The 21,465-nt window shown below is 55.7% G+C and overlaps 2 protein-coding genes across 5 annotated transcripts, besides 4 other annotated features; one reads left to right on the forward strand and one right to left on the reverse strand.

Annotated features, from left to right (window-relative positions):
• Positions 255-549: a silencer, noted in NCBI's record as "tiled region #5067; K562 Repressive DNase matched - State 8:EnhW". NCBI's record gives its function as "represses a minimal TATA promoter and a strong SV40 promoter by Sharpr-MPRA in K562 cells {active_cell/tissue: K562}" and the evidence as "EXISTENCE:reporter gene assay evidence [ECO:0000049][PMID:27701403]".
• Positions 1,207-2,001: an enhancer, noted in NCBI's record as "H3K4me1 hESC enhancer chr11:65775781-65776575 (GRCh37/hg19 assembly coordinates)". NCBI's record gives its function as "activates a minimal SCP1, AML or CMV promoter by ChIP-STARR-seq in naive H9 embryonic stem cells {active_cell/tissue: H9 hESC(naive)}" and the evidence as "EXISTENCE:reporter gene assay evidence [ECO:0000049][PMID:30033119]".
• Positions 4,905-6,402, forward strand: CST6 (cystatin E/M). Its single transcript, NM_001323.4, has 3 exons — positions 4,905-5,181; positions 5,723-5,848; positions 6,214-6,402. The coding sequence occupies exons 1-3, from the start codon at positions 4,942-4,944 to the stop codon at positions 6,295-6,297; spliced, it is 450 nt and encodes a 149-aa protein (NP_001314.1). The 5' UTR covers positions 4,905-4,941; the 3' UTR covers positions 6,298-6,402.
• Positions 6,387-6,962: an enhancer, noted in NCBI's record as "H3K4me1 hESC enhancer chr11:65780961-65781536 (GRCh37/hg19 assembly coordinates)". NCBI's record gives its function as "activates a minimal SCP1, AML or CMV promoter by ChIP-STARR-seq in naive H9 embryonic stem cells {active_cell/tissue: H9 hESC(naive)}" and the evidence as "EXISTENCE:reporter gene assay evidence [ECO:0000049][PMID:30033119]".
• CATSPER1 (cation channel sperm associated 1) lies at positions 9,649-19,376 on the reverse strand. Of its 4 annotated transcripts, NM_053054.4 has the most exons (12): positions 18,061-19,376; positions 15,746-15,958; positions 14,663-14,776; positions 14,393-14,540; positions 13,991-14,082; positions 13,708-13,851; positions 13,461-13,524; positions 13,214-13,286; positions 13,037-13,097; positions 11,724-11,799; positions 9,957-10,071; positions 9,649-9,813 (listed from the first exon to the last, which is right to left on the reverse strand). In NM_053054.4, the coding sequence occupies exons 1-12, from the start codon at positions 19,274-19,276 to the stop codon at positions 9,787-9,789; spliced, it is 2,343 nt and encodes a 780-aa protein (NP_444282.3). In that variant the 5' UTR covers positions 19,277-19,376; the 3' UTR covers positions 9,649-9,786. The 4 variants fall into 4 exon arrangements, 3 of the variants coding, with proteins under 3 accessions (NP_444282.3, XP_047282293.1, XP_047282294.1); XM_047426337.1 differs by lacking the exon at positions 9,649-9,813 and having other exon boundaries at positions 9,983-10,071; positions 11,685-11,799; XR_002957121.2 differs by lacking the exons at positions 9,649-9,813; positions 9,957-10,071; positions 11,724-11,799; positions 13,461-13,524 and having other exon boundaries at positions 13,072-13,097.
• Positions 15,547-16,048: an enhancer, noted in NCBI's record as "H3K4me1 hESC enhancer chr11:65790121-65790622 (GRCh37/hg19 assembly coordinates)". NCBI's record gives its function as "activates a minimal SCP1, AML or CMV promoter by ChIP-STARR-seq in naive H9 embryonic stem cells {active_cell/tissue: H9 hESC(naive)}" and the evidence as "EXISTENCE:reporter gene assay evidence [ECO:0000049][PMID:30033119]".

Raw genomic sequence — 21,465 nt, forward strand, 5'->3', positions numbered from 1 at the left:
GACCCCATCCCCCCATCACACCCAGCCAGAGCTTGACCCCCTCAGCTGGTCTAGTCATGAGTGCTCAGAGCCAGCCTAGAACTTCGTGTGAACCCAGCCCATGCACTCTGGGGTGCTGAAGGGCTCCTGCTGCCCCCAGAAAGGAAGTAGGGGGAGGCTACCTGGACCACCACAAGCCCTGCCCCCGGCAGCCTGCTGAGCATGGAAGGCTCCCAGCAGGTGCTTGTGACTGTTGATCCCTTTCCAGGCTGGCCCCTCCCTGTGGGGACCAGGGCTCTTTCCTGTCACTCCCAACCTTGACTGGTGGCAGCCTTGAAGAGCCAGCCAGGCCCGATTCTGGGGCTTTGCTCCCCATGCGATCTGGAGCAAGTTGCTTCACTCCCCTGAGCTACAGCCTCCTCTGCCAGCTGATAACAGGGTTGTGAAGATTCAACCAGTGAATCAGCAGCGCTTAGGAGCGCTCCTCCCCAGAGGGGAGCTTTAATCCCTGTTGGATTACAGGTTTCCTTGCTGAAAGATCTCCTTTCCAGGATATGGGGCTACAGAGCCCTGGGGGGAGGGCAATATCCTCTGCCCAACTGAAGGTTCAAGGAAGAGGGTTCTGGGGGAAGCATCGAAGCCTTGGAGAGCCTGATCCCAGAGGGAAGGAGATGTCAAGAACCTGCCCTGGTCATCTCCACCCATCAGGCCAGGGGCAAGAGAGGGGTGCTGTGGACAACCTGGGGTGGGATGTCTGGGCCACTGCAAAACTGGAGGCTCTGCCCTGTGGCCAGTACATTTGACCGACCTCAAGCTCACGCTTGGCGCAAACCTCCTGGAAGCCAGAGTGGTCCAGACGGGATGGAGTCAGGCCCTGGGAAAGTCTGCTCAGGGACACCCCATCTGCAAGAAACAACCCCTACACCATGCACAGCAGACCTCAAACCCCTGTGGAGCAGCCCAGGACTCATGCACCGGGACCCACCACTAACCTTTCCCCTTTGATCTCCCATTTCCTCCTTGTAGGAAGAGATAATAGTCATTGTCTGTGCAGAGCTGCTATGGGAATGAAAGAACATATATTGAATCCCTGGCGCAAGGCCTGGCACACAGCAAGAGTTCTTACCATTGTTAATCCTCCCCACCTTTTCTTACCAAGATACCACTTCTAGCTGTGTGACCTTAGACAAGTGTCCCGACCTCTCTGATTAACTTCTTCATCTGCAAAGTGAGGATAATGTGTACTCCCTCAGGGTGCTTGTGAGAATCAGTGGGTGAAAAGTGCTCAGAAATTGCTAGGTTGTACTGCAAAAAAAGTCCTTTGCATCAGCACAAAGCAGAGGCAGGTGGAGTGGGTGCCCTTGGTGAGTGGCAGACAGGCCTTGGCTAGTTTTTGAGAGAGCTGTTGGAGGTACCTGTGGCCATGGCTAAGCTCCAAGTGATGACACAGCAGGCCCAGGGGAGCTGCCTCTCCCACCTCGCCCCTGTGGCACGATCCTGGTACTCTTCCTCTACCCCTCCCAGGCTTTCAGCTCAGAGTCCTGGCCAGGCGTCATCCTCCTGATCAACTCAAGCTCGGCCAGCACTTCCACAAACTGGAGTCTGTCCCTTTAAGCCAGACACCTGAGGCCGCCAGGAACTTGTGACGGTTCCTTGGAATCCCAGGAAGATGGCAGAGTTGGTTTTCCACAGCTGGGCTGAGGAAGTGAGGTGGGTAGCAGGCTGGCAGCTGCCCTGGGCAGTGAGTGACCGCTGTGGTCTAGGTCTCTGTGTGGGAAATCACTTCCTTTTGTGGTCCTGGGATTCTAAGGCCCAGAATCAGGAAGGGAGGGTGACACGCTGGATGCCTACATACAATATCCATCACAGTGACAGTTGCCAGCTGCTCTTTACGTACTGTGACCTAGCACCTCTTCCAAGCCCCAGTGAAGCCCCTGGAGGCTCTAAGCACTGCAAGATCTTAGTGCCCCAGGGACAATAAGCCCCGCCCCCCAGCAACATGGAATTACAAATACAAACTACACTGAACTCTAAAATGCAGACAAATAATTCCAAGGCCTGCCTGTAATCCCAGCATTTTGGGAAGCTGAGGTGGGAGGATCTCGTGATCTCTTGAGGCCAGGCATTCGAGACCCACCTGGCACTACTGTGAGACCCCATCTCTACAAAAAAATATAAGAATTAGCCAGGTGTGGAAAAAAATTAACCAGGCATGGGGGCATGCGCCTGTGGTCCCAGCTACTTGGGAGGCTGAGATGGGAGGATAGCTTGAAGCCAGGAAGTCGAGTTATAGTGAGCTATGATAGCGCCACTGCACTCTAGCCTGGCTGACAGAGCGCTGTCACAAAAAAAAAAAAAAATTCAACAAAATCCAGACTTTTCTTGCGTTGACTACTTCAACACTGCTTTTCATCTGTTCCTTTTTTTTTTTGAGACAGAGTCTTGCTCTGTCACCCAGGTGGAGTGCAGTGGCACCATCACTGCTCACTGCAGCCTCGACCTCCCAGACTCTAGTAATCCTCCCACCTCAGCCTCCCGAGTAGCTGGGACCACAGGCGTGCACCACCATGCACAGCTAATTTATTTTAGATTTTTTGGTAGAGACGGCTCACTATGTTGCCCAGGCTGGTCTCAAACTCCTGGCCTCAAGTGATCCTCCTGCTTCCGACTCCCAAAGTCCTGGGATTACAGGTGTGAGCTACCGTGTGATTAATAGATCACCACCTATTAATAATAATCAATTAATTATTGGAGTCTTTTTTTTTTGAGATAGAGTCTTGCTCTGTCACCCAGGCTGGAGTGCAGTGGGTGCCGTCTCAGCTCACTGCAACCTCTGCCTCCCAGGTTCAAGTGATTCACCCACCTCAGCCTCCCAAGTAGCTGAGACTACAGGTGTGCACCACCACACCCAGCTAATTTTTGTATTTTTAGTAGAGATGGGGTGTTGGGAGCCGAAAGGGCCAAAGGGATTGTGACCAACTCAGCATTCCACTGAAGGCTATATGATCAAACAGCCACCTGTTTATCACGAATGCAGGATGTGGGCAAACTCCCACTGCCCTGCCACCAAAAGGTTTGCTGAGGGCCTTACTCCTTGGCACTGGGGTCCCTGAAGTTATCTACTGAGAAAATTAGCACCTATTGTTCAAAGGATGCAGTCTCACAAGCCTGCTGTGAACCAAAGTGCTGACCGACAATTACCTGACATACCCGACAATCACCCTCCCCCTTTCTCGCTATCTCTTTTGCCTACTACATACAGAGGGCTGTGTAAAGCTCAGGGCCCTTGTCCACTAGAGGCAAGGTGCCCCCTGACCCCTTCTTCCAAATATACTCTTTTGTCTCTTGTCTTTTATTCCCACGTTTGCCCGGCTTTGTTCAGTCCCCCTAGGTCCGTGCGGGCTATGATGGGGTTTCACCATGTTGGCCAGGCTGGTCTCGAACTCCTGGCCTCAAGTGATCTGCCCACCTCGGCCTCCCAAAGTGCTGGGATTACAGGCGTGAGCCACCACACCTGGCAATTATTGGAGTCTTTAAAAACACAGTCATGGGCCTTGTTTGCTGGTACCTCCAGCACATGCTCACTGTATCCACGGGACAGCCAGATTCGAAACATCAATATCAGAACAAACTTAGGAGATAAGGTGTCTTTCAGACGAGGGCACGGAGGCTCTGTGTGGGAGGTTGAGGGACTTGCCCAAAGCCATGCCGTCAGTAAGATGGCAGAGCTGACATGACTGACACCCCCTCCTTCTGGGCAGTTTGTGTCCTGTGGGCTCAGTCTGGTTTAAGACCACAGATTTGACTTAGACTGTCAGCACACACAAGCCAGTGTCACCATTTATTTCCTGCCGGTGTCTTTGGGCAAATCCATTTTCCCTTCTCTGTAAAGTGGAAACTATTTTTTTTCTTTTTTCTTTTTTTTTTTTGTGAGACAGAGTCTCTCTCTGTCACCCAGGCTAGAGCGCAGTGGTGCCATTTTGGCTCACTGCAACCTCTGCCTCCCAGGTTCAAGCAATTCCCCTGCCTCAGCCTTCTGAGTAGCTGGGAATTCAGGTGTGTGCCACCACGCCTGGCTAATTTTTGTATTTTTGGTAGAGACGGGGTTTCACCATGTTGGCCAGGCTGGTCTTGAACTCCTGACCTCAAGTGATCTGCCTGCCTCGGCCTCCCAAAGTGCTGGGATTACAAGTGTGAGCCCTCATGCCCGGCCTTCTTTTTTTTTTTTTTTTTTTTTTTTTTTTTTGAGTCAGCGTCTAGCTCTGTCGCCCAGGCTGGAATGCTGCAGTGGTGAGATCACGATTCACTGACTTGAACTCCTTGGCTCAAGTGGTCCTCCCACCTTGGCCTCTCAAAGTGCTGGAATTACAAGCATGCCTAGGTGCCTGGCCAGGTAGAAACATTAGTCACTCGCGCTCCAGGAAGGTTGTCAGGCAGCGCTGAGCAGTAATGTGTCCTACTCACCTGCTGTTTATCCAGCACCAGACCTCTTCTAAGAACTTTACCTGTTTCAGCTCACTGAATCCTCACAACACCCATTGTACAGAAGAGGAAACTGAGGCAGCGAGTGGTTAAGTGACTTCTCCGAGGTTACACAGCTAGGAAATGGTGGCAACAGTAAGAGCCCACGAAGAGCTGCGGTTGGTAGTTCATTCTGGACAGCCCTCCCGTGAACCGTCCCTGTACTGGCACTTGTTGCTGGGGACTGTCGCTGTCCTCTCCCTCCCCGGGCCAGGTGTGTCCTGGAGGGCAGGGAAGCGTCTTGGCACGCGGGTGCGCGCCGCCCCCTCGGCCTCCTGGGCTCCCTGAACCTCGCAGGACCCCGGCAACTTCGAGCCCCGCCCCAGCTCCAGGCCGCGGGGGCGCATCGCGGGCGTCGGGCGGGGCGGCCCAGCGGGTAAAAGCTGCGCGGCCGCAAGCTCGGCACTCACGGCTCTGAGGGCTCCGACGGCACTGACGGCCATGGCGCGTTCGAACCTCCCGCTGGCGCTGGGCCTGGCCCTGGTCGCATTCTGCCTCCTGGCGCTGCCACGCGACGCCCGGGCCCGGCCGCAGGAGCGCATGGTCGGAGAACTCCGGGACCTGTCGCCCGACGACCCGCAGGTGCAGAAGGCGGCGCAGGCGGCCGTGGCCAGCTACAACATGGGCAGCAACAGCATCTACTACTTCCGAGACACGCACATCATCAAGGCGCAGAGCCAGGTGCGGCGGGCGGGGTGCTGGGAGGGGACACCCGGCCCAGATGGGGGAGGCCACAGGCGCTGCCCCAGCGTGCATGAAGGGGGCCTAAAAGCGCAATCGGGATATTTTCATGCAATATTTTAAAAATCGAATTAATGCTAAAACTCCACGATGGACAACCATCTAAATTTCAAGGAAAGACATAATTAAACCCTGTATTGCACTACCTGCCTTCCTGGCTTGCCTGGTCCTAGTCTCTGCCCTGATGGGGTGGATCGGGGAGGAGGGAAGGCAGGTGGGGACAGTGGGCAGCTCCCTAGATGGGGCATGTCTGATGTCTGCCAAGGCTGCTGGTGGGGCTCAGCCTCCAGGCCTCTCCACCCTCCATCCCCACCAGAACTCCCCCCCCCACCCCCCCCCACCCCCCCCCACCCCGTCTGAATCATCCCCTCTCCCTCTCTCCCCACCTGAGTGCCTGGGGGCAACAGGAGAATATATCAAGAGGTGAGAAGTGAGGATCAAGGGTCAAGACCCCTGACCTGCCCCTACCCTATGCCCCCAGCTGGTGGCCGGCATCAAGTACTTCCTGACGATGGAGATGGGGAGCACAGACTGCCGCAAGACCAGGGTCACTGGAGACCACGTCGACCTCACCACTTGCCCCCTGGCAGCAGGGGCGCAGCAGGAGGTAACAGCTGGGCTCCTCCAGCCCCAGCCCTCCCCAGAGCCTCAGGCACTCAGGTTGTCCATCCTGAACTGGTTTGGCTGGACACGTAGATGTCTAGATGTCTGGCTGAACCTGTCGTCCTTCTGGATGAGTCAGCCTCTGGGCCAAGATGGGGTGCAGAAAGGAAGCTGGGGCTTCCCTCGGGAATGGGGAAGTTGGCTACCAAGATCTGGAGTCTAGCCCCAGACATGCGGCTTGACATCCGTTGGGTCAGTGATTGTCCCTCTCTTGGCCTGGAGCAGCCTGGCAGGCAGAGGGCTGGCTGTTGGGAGGAGACAGGTCGAGGCTGGGCTCACCCCTCCTTCTCCCCCATATTCCCTCCACAGAAGCTGCGCTGTGACTTTGAGGTCCTTGTGGTTCCCTGGCAGAACTCCTCTCAGCTCCTAAAGCACAACTGTGTGCAGATGTGATAAGTCCCCGAGGGCGAAGGCCATTGGGTTTGGGGCCATGGTGGAGGGCACTTCAGGTCCGTGGGCCGTATCTGTCACAATAAATGGCCAGTGCTGCTTCTTGCATTGGTTTCTTCCAAGTGCTTCGCTTCTGCCCCCATCCCCCACTCCCACTTCTGGCAGCTCCCAGCTCCCCAGCCCAAGCTGAGAGGTCACCCTGCCACCTGCAGCAGAGCTGCTGCTGTCCCAGCCCAGACAGTGCTGAAGGTGCAGGGCTGAGCCTCCAAATGTGGAGCCCCCAAACACCCCAGCATCACAGGCATAGAGGAACAAACCTTAGAGCCCCCACACACAGCCAGAGACTCCCAATATTCTCAGAGGTCAGGGGTGGCGGCAGACTCACAGAGGAGGGGCGATGGCCTGAGATAAGAACAGGGCCGGCTGCCTGGGAGCACTCTGAGGAGGAGTCTGTGCTGTGCTCCCACTCAGCCCCAGGAGGAGCTCATGGGTGGCATGGGGGGCTTCAATCAGGCAGTGTCCTCACCCAGGACACTGAGCTCCCAGCCTATAAAGATTCCTCCACCTGCATGTGGCCCAACGATGGCAGAGTCCCTGCAGGCCAAGAGACCATGAAGGCTAGGACAGTGCCTCTCAGTCCACACTGTGGGCTCCACGCCACAAGGACGCCTCTCTTGCCTTGCCCTGGGCAAGACGCCTGAAAGGGGCTAGACTAGGAGCCGCAGAGGGACAGAGATTGTCTAGCGCCCACAGGAGGGGTGAGGGGACAGATTCAATGTAATGTCATTTAAAGAAAACAGCATTGCAGCCGGCCTCACACCTGTAATCCCAGCACTTTGGTAGGCTGAGGTGGATGGATCACCTGAGGTCAGGGGTTCAAGACCAGCCTGGTGGCCGGGCGCGGTGACTCACGCCTGTAATCCCAGCACTTTGGGAGGCCGAGGCGGGCAGATCACGAGGTCAGCAGATCGAGACCATCCTGGGTAACACGGTGAAACCCCGTCTCTACTAAAAATACAAAAAATTAGCTGGGTGTAGTGGCGGGCGCCTGTAGTCCCAGCTACTCGGGAGGCTGAGGCAGGAGAATGGCGTGAACCCGGGAGGTGGAGCTTGCAGTGAGCCGAGATGGCGCCACTGCACTCCAGCCTGGGCGCCAGAGCCAGACTCCATCTCAAAAAAAAAAAAAAAAAAAAAAAAACCAGCCTGGCCAACATGGTGAAATCCCATCTCAACCAAGAATACAAAAATTATCTGGGTGTGGTGGCAGGTGCCTGTAATCTCAGCTACTCAGGAAGCTGAGGTAGGAGAATCGCTTGAATCCAGGAGGCAGAGGTTGCAGTGAGCCGAGATTGCGCCACTGCACTCCAGTCTGGGAGACAGAGCGAGACTCCATCTCAAAAAAATTAAAAATAAAAAAAGAAGAAGAAAACAGCATTGCAACATTTGCACATCTGAATTTGTGGCTGCAATTCATACCCCCCCATACATATACACACGCACACACCCAAAGCACAACACACCAGACATACACACACAGACACCCAGAGCACACACTCAGATGCTGGCAGATATCACATGCATACCCAGAGAAACACAGCCTAGCAACTCATGAGCACAGAAGCAACACACCCTAGAGAAACAACCTGGAGATGTACACACAAAACTCAAACACAACCCAAGGACCCACATGCCACACCCAGAGGTTCCTCAGATGCACAAGCACACACCCACACTTGGGATATGGGCCTTGGGGGTGCTAGGTATAGGCACCATCAGGCCCAGGCAGGCAGCACTGCAGTGGCTGCGGAGAGCATCCCACGGTCCTTCCTTTCTGACAAGGCCTCACACCCTGCTTGTGCCTGCCTGGTCCCCTGCCCAAGGCTGGGGCCTAATAAGCAGCAGCCCCAGCTCCCAGGCCCTGCTGTCGGCCTTTGGAGGCCAGATTGGGGTAGAGACGGGGAAACGGGAAGTAGACCCTGGGTCCCACCTGGGAGTGAGAAGCTGAGGGGTGGCATTTGACAGGAGCTGGGGACCCAGGAGACAACATCCAGCCCTGCTTCTGCTCAAGCTTGTCAGATGTGGCAGCTCAGACAGCCCAGGGTGTGTGCGGGGCCTGCTGCTTGGAAGGGCTCCCATGTGCCACCAAGCAGGGACTCCCAGCATGGGGCAGGCACAGGGTGGGTGGCAGGAAATGCCTGTTGAATGAATGTGTGAGGTGGTGGAGAGAAGCAAGGCCCAGAGACGCCTGCCCGGTGACCTCTCCGCCCCTGGAATCTGTGCCCAAATCCCAGATGGCATTTCCTCCGCATAGTCTATTCCTGGGCCCTGGGCCCTGGGCCAGCCAGTGCCTTCCGCCAGACCAGGGAGGGGAGGTGCTTCTTCTGTCCTGGGACCCTGGAAGCTCCAGCACTGACTGGTCTGGTCCAGAGATGGGAGGGTTGGCAAAAAACTATTGCCCTTCAGCTCCCGCTCCTGACTCCCTCCGGCCTGAACTGCACCCTGGATTCGCCTCTACTAGAGGTGAGATGGCTGTTGTAGATAATGGAAAACCCTCCACTTAAGGAGAGACCCCTGGGGCCAGGGCGAGGCTTGAACTTGACTCAGTGCTAGGTCTCCAGCACCCAGCATAGGCCAGTGTCCCACTGTCACCCCCAGCCATGGGGACAGGGGCTCTGGACATCCAGCCTAGGCTCAGGCTATCAGTCGGGGAGGTCATCTAAGTCCTAGAGCAGGCAATGGGGCGCAGCCTTCAGCCTCATTCCCTGCTTCCCTCTCCCAGCAGCAGGGTCCTCCACACATCCCTGCCCGCCCCTTGCCCTGAGGCCAGAAGGACTTGAGCAGCCCCGACTCCACCTCCCCTCAGTGGGGCTCTAGAGTCTGACCCCAGAAAGGGCAGGATATGGCAATGACCTCCGACCTCTGGGTTCATGATATCCCCATCCGGTTGGTGCTCTTCTACTGGAGCTGAGGGTCCTGGTAGGATTGAGTTCCTGGGCTCTGAGTCCCCATTCCTAGAGCCTATTGGGCCCCCAGGCCCTGGTAACCCTGGGGTGTTCAGGCCTATTCTTTTTCTCCTGACTCTTGGGCCAGATGGGCCTTCCTCCCCAAAGCAGGGTTACTGCCTCCTCGGCCCTCCCGGCACCGCCGGCACCTGAGCTCAGCCCACGTTCTGCTTCATCCCTCCAGCTGCTGCTAATGCCCTGCTGGGCTGAGCTAGCATGCGGGCGCTGGTAGGGCTGGAGGGGATCCAAGAGCAGCTCCTTTCACATGCAACACGGGCACACACTCGTTCGTGTGTGTGCACCAATTCCCTTCCCTGCGCCTTGGCCTAGTCAGTGAGGACATGGAGCCTCCTGGGGTTTAAAAACTCTGTTGGGGCCCCTGCTCTGCAGGGCCCGGACAATCATTCCAGCAGATCTGGGGACCCGTCCCAGTGCACCCAGGTGGGCAGACTGCCAGGGGCTGAAGTCTGTATCTGGTGTCCTCCTGGGGTCAATTCCTGAAGTCCTCTTCTCCAGCCTGCAGGGGTGAGTGGGGCACTGGTGGGTGAATGAGCCAGACTTTGCCTTCCCCGATCCCCATGGGAGTTACTTGGAGCCATTTCTGGCTACAAGCCCCTGGGGTTCCCCTCGCCGGCCCCTTCCCGCTCCTGCCTGGTTCACCTCAAATGTGGTGTCCACAATCTCATCGATGACGGCTGCCTGGGAGCGGAACTTCTGCTGCTCCTGCTCCACGCTTGCCACCAGCTGCAGGTAATGGAACAGGAGCTCCTGCTGCCTGCGGGTGGGCGGGGGGGTCGCAGAGACAGGGGCTGGGCTGACCTGCTGGCTGGGCCTACTGCACCCCAGAACCACCCAGAGGCTCTTCTTGCCTGCCTCCTCCCCACAAAATTTATATGACTGCAGACCTGCATTTCCAGGAGGTCTCCTTTTCCAGATATGAGAAAGAGCCCAAGTCTGCCTGTAGCGCAGAGGCTTCTGGCTTTGTTTATCTTCCTAACCACCCATCCCTCCACCCACCCATTTGTCAGCCCCATTCCTCCCCATACGCCCACTCGACCATCCACCCATCCATCCACCCACCTCCTTATCCAGTCACTCACCCATCTGGCCCTCCAGCCACTCACAACTCACCTCCCCCTCCACCCACCTGCTCTTCCCTGTAGCCACCCCCCACCCACCCATTGACACCTTCATCATGCTGTGTAGTCAGTCACCCACCTGTCCCTCCACCCACTCATCTGCCCACCACATTACCCATTGTCCCATTCACACCCTCCCCGCCATCTTGTCAACCCATTCATCAAAGAACACTGGAAACAATGAACACAGCAAGGTACTCCGAGGAGATGGAGATGAATGAGAGACAGCTTGCCCTCAGAGCCAGACAGCTGCTGACACTTTGAGGCATGAAATTGGGTTCTGAGGGGCCCAGAGGAGGGAAACCTCGCCTGATGCTGGCGACCTGGAAAGACTTCTGGAGGCAGCGTCAATGAGCTGAGTTTGAAAGATAAGTGAGAGCCCAGGCGCGGTGGCTCATGCCTGTAATCCCAACACTTTGGGAGGTCAAGGCAGGTGGATCATTTGAGGTCAGGAGTTCCAGACCAGTCTGGCCAACATGGTGAAACCCTGTCTCTACTAAAAAAATATACACACACACAAATAGCTGGGTGTGGTGACATGCACCTGTAATCCCAGCTACTCGGGAGGGTGAGGTGGGAGAATCGCTTGAACCCAGGAGGCGGAGGTTGCAGTGAGCCTAGATTGTGCCACTGCACTCCAGCCTGGGTGACAGAGTGAGACCCTGTCTCAAAAAAAAAAAAAAAAGAAAAAAGAAAAAAAGAGAAAGATACATGAGGGTTTACCAGGCTTGGGCAGGGCTCCTGGTGCTCCCAGGCCTGGCTCCCCAGAGATCCTTCTCATGGGGACAGCATGAGTCCCCAGATGTCCTGGCCCAGCTGGCCACTCAAGTGGACAGGAATGGAGGTTGAGCATCGGACCTCCAGGCCTTGATCTAAGCTGTTCCTCCAACCGCCTCATTATCCCTCCACTTGGCTGAAGTCTACTCATTCTCCATGGCCCAACACAGGTCTTTAGAGGTGGGGTCCTCATGGGCAGGGGCTGAATCTGTGTCCTCTTTGGGTCCCTGGAGCCCTCACAGGGCCCAGACTTGACAAAGGTTGGGGATGGTTCTGGGGTGAAGGAATGGGTGGCACCCCTGCTGCTGGGATTAGCCAGGTGGCACACACACCTCTGGATGTGCAGAAGCCACCCAGGGTCTCCTCGTTGCACCCACAGGCTCATCCACAAGCCTCAGCGCTCCATCCCCTTCTAGAGGGGCAGGCAATGTCCCTTTCCCTCCAGCCCTCCAGCCAGGCCCCCAGGCCTCACCCTCAGACCCCAGGCCTCGCTCCCTTCCTGTCTCCTCACTTCTCAGTCATGGTCCCAAACTTTTTCTCGATGAGCCGCTTCAGCATGGTGCCTTCACTCGCCACCTCTTTGGGCTCTGGATGTAGAGAAAGAAGGGTGAGGTCAAGGCCTGGATTTGGAGAGGAGGCAGAGGAACCCCATGTGTCAGGAAGATAAGGGCTAATGGAGTTTCTGGCCAGGCTGCTCCAGGAGGTTGCTTCTCCGGGCATGCAGCACGATGCAGTTCCCTTTGTTTGCCCGTCTAGCACCCACCCCACTTCTGGAAGAAGTGCCCCAATTGTCTTGAGGAACAAATCACTTCTACCCCCTTTCAGTCCATGTCCTTTGGCTGAGGTTAGCCCCACCTCCAGCTTCAGGGATACCCCCTTTCAGTCCATGTCCTCTGGCTGAAGTTAGCCCCACCCCCCAGCTTCAAGGACAGGTAACTTAGGCCTGGCCAATTAGAACTTTTTTTTTTCTTTTTTTTTTGAGACGGAATCTCACTCTGCCGCCCAGGCTGGAGTGCAGTGGCACAACCTTGGCTCACTGCAACCTCTGCCTCCCGGGTTCAAGTGATTCTCCCGCCTCAACCTCCCGAGTAGCTGTGATTACTGGTGCCCACCACCATGCCCAGCTAATTTTTGTATTTTTAGTAGAGACAGGGTTTCACCATGTTGGCCAGACTGGTCTTGAACTGCTGACCTCAGGTGATCCGCCCGTCTCAGCCTCCCAAAGTGCTGGGATTACAGGTGTAAGCCACCATGCCCGGCCCCAGGTAGGTCTTTTAAGATTTGACAAGCACAGTCAGGTGTTGTGGCTCACACCTGCAATCTCAGCACTTTGGGAGGCTGAGGTGGGAGGATCATCTGAGGTCAGGAGTTCCAGTTTGAAACCAGCCTGGCCAACCTGGTGTAACCCCATTTCTACTAAAAAATACACACACACACAAAAAAACAACAACATTAGGCGAGTGTGCTGGCGCATGCCTGCAGTCTCAGCTACTCAGGAGGCTGAGATGGAAGGATTGCTTGAGCCTGGGAAGCATAGGTTGCAGTGAGCAGAGATTGCAGCACCGCACTCCAGCCTGTGCGACAGAGCACAAGACTCCATCTCAAAAAAAAAAAAAAAAAAAAAAAAAAGACTTGACAAGCAGTTTAACTGGCTTTGGGAGGATTGTTCTAGGGTCCTCTGGACTAAAGTCCTCCTGAGTCTCAAATTCTAAAACTCTAAAACTGAGTCTGGAATTCTGTGACTGTGGAAGGAGGTTAGGGGGATGGAGAGACTGGCCCCCACTGCGGACGGGCAGGTGGGGCCAGGGCGGGCCAGGCCCATACCTGCAGCTCTGAGCTCCGTCAGTGAGTCTTCCAGCAGCTTCTCTTGGATCCGGGCGGCCCTCTGGGAAGAAGAGGCCTCAGATCTGCCAGAGTCCCAGGCCTGCTCAACCCTGGAGGCCCCTGGCCTCACTCCTCCAGCTTCCTGATCTGGTCCACCTGTCCCACCCCACTCGGTACCTCCTGCTTCGCTTTCTCAAGGCCTTTGAACAGCGCCGTCTGGAAGCTATCCACCAGGACAGTAATCACCAGGCTGGGGAGAGGGACAGGGGTGTGCCCTCAGCGAGGAGGCCAGAGGAGAGGGGCACCCGGTACTTCTTGTGGGTTCAGCGTGGCATGACCAGGGTGAGAGGGCTGGGGTAAGGGTCCCAGGGGAGAGGAGGAAGTGTGGGTGGTGCTGGGCAGCAGAGCAGGGGTGAGTCCTCACTTGAGGAAGATGAAGTACTGGATGATGATGTAAATTACGAGGATGGGAATGATGTACCAGGCGCCTAGGGGGAGCAGGCCAGAGGGCACAGTCAGGCTGTGCTCGCCACCCCCAACCACGACCTGCTCCCTTCCCATACCCGGACATGCAGGCATCAGAAGCCCCACTTTGCCGATGGGGTCACTGAGCCCTGGCCGGTCCACCCCGCCAATCCCCGGCCCTCCCTGCAGCCTGGGGCCTGCCCTACCCTGGGCACGGCTGTCCATGTAGATGAGGGACCAGTCATCCAGCGTGAGCAAGGTGAAGAGGGTGAAGATGGTGGTGAAGATGTTCTGGAAGCGCTTGGGGTCAGATTTGCGGAACAGTGCCCGGAGGACCGCGGAGAAGAGGACTGGCTGTTCAGGGCCAAACTCAGCTCTCCAGTGCTATCCCCACCCCAGCGCCCCTCGTCCTGCCCCATCCCTGCTCCCCGCACCCCTTTCACCGCAGCCCCTCAGGCCCCCACCCCAGCCCCTGCAGCACCAGGATACAGAGGCAGGTAAACATGAGGATGAGGATGGCTGCGATGGACGGCAAGGACTGGCCCAGGGTCCCTGTCACTTCCTGGACGCTGGTCAGGAAGCTGTGGGCAGAAGGAGTGGGGACTGAGTCATCGGTGAGGGGCGGGGGTGTGTGTCTCTGCCCAGCAGCCACAGCTGGCGCTGAAGGCAGGAGGCTCCTGACTTGTTGGTGACTTGGGTGAGTCCTGGCCCCTCTCTGGAAAAATGAAGGGGCTGATTCCAGTGCATGACAGAAGGCAGAAGCAGGCTGGGGTCAGCAGCCTCCTGCGCCCCCATCCCTTGAGCAGGTCACAGTGGATTTCTTTGGGGCCCTGGTCTGTGTCCCCTCTTCCTTTGGAGTCCCCACCCCAGGTGGGAGCCGTGGCCACTGACCTGAGCCTCCGCAGGACCCGGATTGCCCTCAGGGCCCGCAGGCTCTTGAAGACCTTGAGGATCCGGAAGAGGCTTTGGTGGTAGATGGCGAAGGAGTGGGTCTGCATCAGCAAGAAGTCCAGCACGGCCATGGCCATAATGAAGAAGTCTGAGGGCACGGGGTGCCTGAGCCTGGCGGGCTCCCAACGCCAGCGCCCCCTTCCCCATCCTTCTCTCGTCCCGAGCCTCCCCCAGACTAAACACACGCAGCCTGGCCCCGGCCGCACCCACCCAAATTGTTCCAGAAGTCAAAGAAGTACGAGAGGCCCAGGGCGATGATCTTGAGCAGGGCTTCCACCACGTAGATGCAGAAGAATATGGAGTCCAAGGCCATGAAGTACCACTCTGCAGGAACACAGGGGTGCACTCAGAGCTGTCCCCAGCACCCAGTGCCCTCTCTCTCCTCAGCATTAGCCTCACACAAGCCCAGATTCCCAGGCTCTCCCCGGCTCTGCGTAAGCAGCTGCGCGACTTCACTACTGCTGTGTCTCAGTTTTCTTGTCTTTAAAATGGGGATAATTGTGTCCAGGAGCAGTGGCTCACACCTGTAATCCCAGCACATTGGGAGGTTGAGGCGGGCGCATCACTGGAGGTCAGGAGTTCGAGACCAGCCTGGCCAACATGGTGAAACCCTGTTTCTACCAAAAATACAAAAATTAGCTGGGCATGGTGGTGGGCACCTGTAGTCCCAGCTACTTGGGAGGCTGAGGCAGGAGAATCACTTGAACCCGGGAGGCGGAGGTTGCAGTGAGATCGCGCCACTGCACTCCAGCCTGGGTGACAGAGCCAGACTCCGTCTAAAATAAAATAAAATAAAATGGGGATAATTGAAGTCCACTTGATAGAGTTGTGAGCGTTAAATGCATGAACACAAGCGAAGTGCTTAGAATGGAGCCTGAGACAGCGAGCCGGGCAGCTCCTGTCCTTCACCCTGCTCCACGGCGTTGGAGGGCCCAGCCTTCCCCGACCTTACATCCTCGCCCCTCCAGGGCCTTCTCGGGCTCCCGGCCCTTCCGCGAAGCTCGGGCTCCAGGCGCCCGCCCGCCCTCAGCCGCACATTTGGAGCAGATGCGCTCCCTAGTGGCTGCGGCGCGAACAGCACCGCCTCCCGCCTAGCGGGTCCTTCTGTCTCGGGCCGGCCTCAGCGGGGTCTTTCTGAGACGCTCTCTAATACTGGGTAAGGCCATCTACTTCCCAGGGGTGAGGATCAAGTGAGCTGAGTCCTATAAACCGCCCGGCACTGGATCAGGCCCACGGAGGTCCTGGAAGAGCATCGGTGGCTTCTCCATGGGAACAGGACTCCCTGGCTCTTACCGCCCCGGATCTCGACTTCAGCGAAGGTCTGGGCCACCAGCATGACGGTGTTGAGGCAGACAACGAAGAAGATGAAAGTTTCAAAGGCCAAGGATTGGGTCAGGTTCCGGATCATTTCCCGGAAGCCCTGAATGAGGAAGGTTAGCTTTTCCCACAGCCACTGGAAGAGATTGGTAGAGTGTCCCTTCTTGCGGGTCCGCTGGAGCCGGCCGGCTGAAAGGAACAGGGCCAGAAAGTCAAGTGTGTGCAAGAGGGGACACGAGGTCCCAGGCACCCCCCAGCCTGGCTCAGCGTCCATGGTCACTCCTGCCTGCTTGCTGGCCCTCTGCCTCCCGGGTTCAAGCAACTCTTGTGCCTCAGCCTCCCAAGTAGCTGGGACTGCAGGTGCCTGCCACCACGCCCGGCTAATTTTTGTATTTTTGGTAGAAACAGGGTTTCAACATGTTGGCCAGGCTGGTCTCGAACTCCTGGCCTCCAGGGCTTCCACCACGTAGATGCAGAAGAATATGGAGTCCAAGGCCATGAAGTACCACTCTGCAGGGACACAGGGGTGCGCTCAGGGCTGTCCCCAGCACCCAGTGCCCTCTCTCTCCTCAGCATGAGCCTCACACAAGCCCGGATTCCCAGGCTCTCTCCAGCTCTGGGTAAGCAGCTGCGCGACTTCACTACTGCTCTATGTCTCAGTTTTGTTGTCTTTAAAATGGGCATAATTGTGGCCAGAAGCAATGGCTCACACCTGTAATCCCAGCACTTTGGGAGGTTGAGGCAGGCGGATCACTGGAGGCCAGGAGTTTGAGACCAGCCTGGCCAGCAAATCCCCAACAGGCTGGTCCTGTGCCTTCTGTGGCAGGGGCCAGCCTGTTGGGGATTTGGAGTTGGCTTCTGGGGATCCTGAGGGCTCCCACTCCTATGCCTCCATGCCTTTCTTTGCTCACGTGGCAACTTACATATGGAAAACCCACCCTCCTCATCATCCCATCCTCTTGGTAAACTTATCCTCTCCCTTTCAGGTCCTGATGAAATGTTCCCTCCTCTGGGCTGCCTTTCCTGTCCCCATTTAATAACACACTTGCCCCTCTCTGCTTGTTCCTGAGACTGTTGTCATATTTTGTTTGTTGTTGTTGTTGTTTTCTGAGATGGAGTCTCGCTCTGTTGCCCAGGCTGGAGTGCAGTATCGTGATCTCGGCTCACTACAACCTCCGCCTCCCAGCTTCAAGAGATTCTCCTGCCTCACCCTCCTGTGTAGCCAGGATTACAGGCACGCACCACCACACCCGGCTAATTTTTGTATTTTTTTGGTAGAGACAGGGTTTTGCCATATTGGCCAGGCTGGTCTCCAACTCCTGACCTCAAGCAATCTACCTACCTTGGACTCCCAAAATGTTAGGATTACAGATGTGAGCCATCGCACCCAGCCTATTTGTTTTTTTTTTTTTTTTTTTTTTTTCCTACGGAGTCTTGCACTGTCACCCCGGCCGGAGTGCAGTGGCACGATCTCGGCTCACTGCAACCTCTGCCTCCTGGGTTCAAGCGATTCTCCTGCCTCAGCCTCCCAAGTAGCTGGGATTACAGGGGTGCACCACCACGCCCAGCTAATTTTTGTATTTTTTTGGTAAAGACGGGATCTCGCCATGTTGGCCAGGCTGGTCTTGAACTCCTGACCTCAAGCGATCCACCCACCTCGGCCTCCCAAAGTGCTGAGATTACAGGCGTGAGTCACCGCGCCTGGCCTGTTGTCATGTTTATTGAACTACTAGGAAGAAAGTTTGGTGGCGTATGAGCTAAAGGCCATGGTCCCTCCTTGCCCTCCAATAAGGCCCTCATTCAGGCATTAGTTCCTAATCTCTGTTCTCAAGCAGCTCACAGGTGAGTGGGAGAAATCTGGACAGATAGAATCCACCATGGTAAATGTTCTGAGGGCAGGCCCCGAGCACAGGATGATCTGTGGTCAGCTAAGTGACCACTCCTAGTTTTGGGCCCCTCGAGGGCAGCGACTGTGTTGAATTTTTCCCCATGCTGCCATGGCCCAGGCAGGCCACACACCCACATTGGATGAGTATCAATGTTTGACTGGTAGACATATGAATAAATAAGGCAGTGACTGAATGAACAAACACCTCATGGCCTAAAGAGGTACATAATTCAAGGAATAAAAGATGGGACCATGAACAGTCAGGAGAGTGAATAGCCAGTGGGGGACCTGTGCAGGAGGGTCGGGCCTTACGATCTGCGGAAGGACAGTGCGGGGCCGAGATCAGGTCTGGATCCTGCGCCAGGCAGCAGGAGTTGGCATGGGGGGCCCAGCAAAGACTCACTTTTGCGTTTCTGAAATTGCCCTTCTTCTTTGCCCCAGTCTTCTGAATGTTTGGTGGAGATATCCTGGGTATGGACTTTTTTGGACATCTGGGTGACACGTGAGCGGATTGTGCTGGAGGACCGAGTCATGCTGTGAGCCGAGCCCCGTGGGTGTGCTACGTGATAGGGGAAGACTCCTGTACGAGAAGCAGCAGGGCCGGGGGCATCGTGAATCAGGCTCCGGGATGTGTGTGGGATAGAGAGTTGGGAAGTGCTCTGGACGTAGTCGCCATGGAGGTAACTGGAATGATACGCGCCGTGGTGGTCTTGGTGCTGATGGTAGTCTCGGTGCCGGTGGGTCTGGTGGTAGTGGTGCTGTGTGTGGTGGGGATGGTCGCCATGGTGGTACTCACTGGGGTGGTGATCACCTTGGTGGTACTCGCTGTGATAGTCAGATATCCCACGCTGGTAGGACCCCACAGAGGAATGAGGGGAAATGGTCTCTCCGTGATGAGGAGACTTTCCATGCTGGTGGGCTTCATGATGACGGGACCTGCCATGGTGGTGGACTTGGTGATGGTGGGGCCAGCCACGGTGGGGGACTTGGTGATGCTGGGACTCATCGTGTTGGAGCCCGCTAAGGTGGGAAGCCTCGCTGTGGTGGAAGGACTCACTGTAGGGATTGGGTCCATGGGGGAGGTAGGACCCACCATGGTGGGAAGCCTCACCGTGGTGGGGCACGCCAGAGGAATAGTGGGATAAATTCTCACCGAGATATTGGGGTCTGCCATGGTGAGACCCCCTATGGTAATGGGAGTCACTCTGCTGATGGAACCCACCGTATTGGGACCCATCATGATGCCTCCTGCCATCACGTTGGAGCTCATCATGGTAGTCCTCACCGTAGGAACGGTGGGAGGGGACGGCGCCTTGAGAGGGAGCCAGACCAAAGCCTGTGGGGCCATGGGCTCTGCCGTGATTCCGTGCCTCGCTGTGGTGGTGAGATTGGTGGACATGGGAGGACAAGGCTTGGTCGTGGAAGTCTTGGAACTCCGGAGGGTGGTGAGATTCACCACGTTGGTGGGGCACGCCGTGATGGTGCAACTCGTAATGGTGGAGAGCTCTGCTGTGGCCTGGCCTGTGGTGTGGGGGTGATGAGTGAGAGCGAAAGAACCTATCTGCGTTATTGGTGTCTGCCTCATTCTGAGCCTTTTCAGGCACTGAGTTTTGATCCATGACTGTGCTGGGAACTCTGGAGCCAAAAGAGCTCAAGACCTGGGCCCAACAGGCCCCGCCTGGATTTCCCTTCTTTCCTGAGCCAAGCTCAATGCAGACTGTGGCACTGGGCTTCCAGAAAGGCCTGACTATTCTCGTGGAACTCTCCCCTCTATGATGTCACCAGCAGGCCAGGGCCTCATTCCCAAATGCCTCTTCCTGGGCTATAGTTCGGAATCAAGAATTATTGTGTCAAACTCCTTCATTGTAAATGAGGAAACCGAGGTCAAGAAAAGGGAAGGACTAGACCAAGGTGACCTCACAGGTCACTGGCAAAGCTGGACAAAGAAGTCCATGGGGGCGCCATGGCTTCATCAGCTACTTTAGCCCTGTTGTTGGAAAGAAAATGGTCCAAGTGGTCCAGTCTTCAGTCCCATCTAGAGATCAGCTGGCTCTGGGGTGAAGACTGCCTGACTCCCTCATAAGTAGGTGTGTGACCTTGGGCTTGTTGCTGAACTTTCCCGTGCCTCAGTTTCTTCCTCTGTAAAATGGGAATAATAATACCTAGCCCACAGGATCAAAAAAGTTAAGATATGTAAGCCTTATATTAACAGCATAATACATGGTTTTTGTTGTTGTTGTTGTTGTTTGTTTCTTTGTTTGTTTTTGAGATGGAGTCTCGCTCTGTCGCCCAGGCTGGAGTGCAGTGGCACGATCTTGACTCACTGCAACCTCCACCTCCCAGCTTCATGCCATTTTCCTGCCTCAGCCTCCCAAGTAGCTGGGACTACAGGCGCCCACCACCACGCCCGGCTAACTTTTTCTATTTTTAGTAGAGACGGGGTTTCACCATGTTAGCCAGAATGGTCTTGATCTCCTGACCTCGTGATCCGCCTGCCTTGCCCTTCCAAAGTGTTGGGATTACAGGTGTGAGCCACTGCGCCCAGCCCATGTTTTTTTGTTTTTGTTTTTGTTTTTTGAGACAGTCTCACTGTCACCCAGGCTGGAGTGCAGCGGCATGATCTCCACTCATGGCAATCTCTGCCTCCCAGGTTCAAGTGAGCCTCCTGCCTTAGCCCCCTGAGTAGCTGGGATTACAGCCACCCACCACCATACCCCACCCCGGCTAATTTTTTTTTTTTTTTTTTTGAGACAGAGTCTTACTCTGTCACTAGGCTGGAGTGCCGGGGTGCAATCTTGGCTCACTGCAATCTCTGCCTCCTGGGTTCAGGCAATTCTCCTGCCTCAGCTTTCCTAGTAGCTGCGACTACAGGTGCACACCACACCCAGCTAATTTTTGTATTTTTAGTAGAGACGGGGTTTCACCATGTTGACGAGGCTGCTCTTGAACTCCTGACCTCAAATGATCCACCCACCTCGCACTCCCTAAGTGCTGGGATTTCAGGTGTGAGCCACCATGCCTGGCCAATACATGTTAATTGGCATTATTATTCTCTTCTTGATCTTGGAACCCCCCTTTAGGGTTATTACCAAAATTAAACTATCAGCCATCATTTATTGAGGATTGCTTCATACACATTTTGTTTTCTTTCTTTCTTTTTTTTTTTTTGAGACACAGTCTTGCTCTGTCACCTAGGGTGGAGTGCAGTGGCATGGTCTCAGCTCACAGCAACCTCCACCTCCTGAATTCAAGCAATTCTCCTGCCTCAGTCTCCCAAGTAGCTGAAAGTACAGGCGTGCACCACTACGCCCAGCTAACTTCTTTTGTATTTTAGTAGAGATGGGGTTTCACCCTGTTGGTCAGGCTGGTCTCGAACTCCTGATCTCAAACGATCTGCCCGCCTCGACAACCCAAAGTGCTGGGATTACAGGCATGCGCCACCGTGCCCGGCCCATACACATTAAATTTAATCCTCACAATAGCCCCACATGGTAGATATTGTTTATCCCCATTTGACAGACAAAGGTGCTATGGCTCAGAGAATATAAATGAGTTGCTTGATGAATGAAAACTTACCGTCAGTGCTATCTCACTCCAAGTCTGTATCTGTAACCTTCATGCTGTCCTGTCTTCCTCCTGGAATCCACTGCAGAGCTTGCCCTGTATGCTGAATTCATATGTGCACAGCGCAGCTCTTCTGGAAGCTTATGGGTCTCAGCTTCTTGAGTGCTTGGTCAGAGCCATGTCCATAGTGGCTGCTGGGTTCCCAGTGATGAAAGAGACACGGCTCCTGTTTTAAGGAGCTCAC

This window comes from Homo sapiens, chromosome 11, assembly GCF_000001405.40.
Source record: "Homo sapiens chromosome 11, GRCh38.p14 Primary Assembly".
NCBI classification, from domain to species: Eukaryota; Metazoa; Chordata; class Mammalia; order Primates; family Hominidae; genus Homo; species Homo sapiens.

Excerpts from the sequence above, each read along its gene's own strand:
- CATSPER1 (NM_053054.4), bottom strand. The coding sequence starts at position 19,276 with ATGGATCAAAACTCAGTGCCTGAAAAGGCTCAGAATGAGGCAGACACC. Across the intron at positions 14,083-14,392 it reads CGGGTCCTGCGGAGGCTCAG|CTTCCTGACCAGCGTCCAGG; the intron begins GTCAGTGGCCAC and ends TTCTGCCCACAG. Across the intron at positions 13,098-13,213 it reads TTGAGAAAGCGAAGCAGGAG|AGGGCCGCCCGGATCCAAGA; the intron begins GTACCGAGTGGG and ends TCTTCTTCCCAG.
- CST6 (NM_001323.4), top strand. The coding sequence starts at position 4,942 with ATGGCGCGTTCGAACCTCCCGCTGGCGCTGGGCCTGGCCCTGGTCGCA. Across the intron at positions 5,182-5,722 it reads TCATCAAGGCGCAGAGCCAG|CTGGTGGCCGGCATCAAGTA; the intron begins GTGCGGCGGGCG and ends CTATGCCCCCAG. Across the intron at positions 5,849-6,213 it reads CAGCAGGGGCGCAGCAGGAG|AAGCTGCGCTGTGACTTTGA; the intron begins GTAACAGCTGGG and ends TTCCCTCCACAG.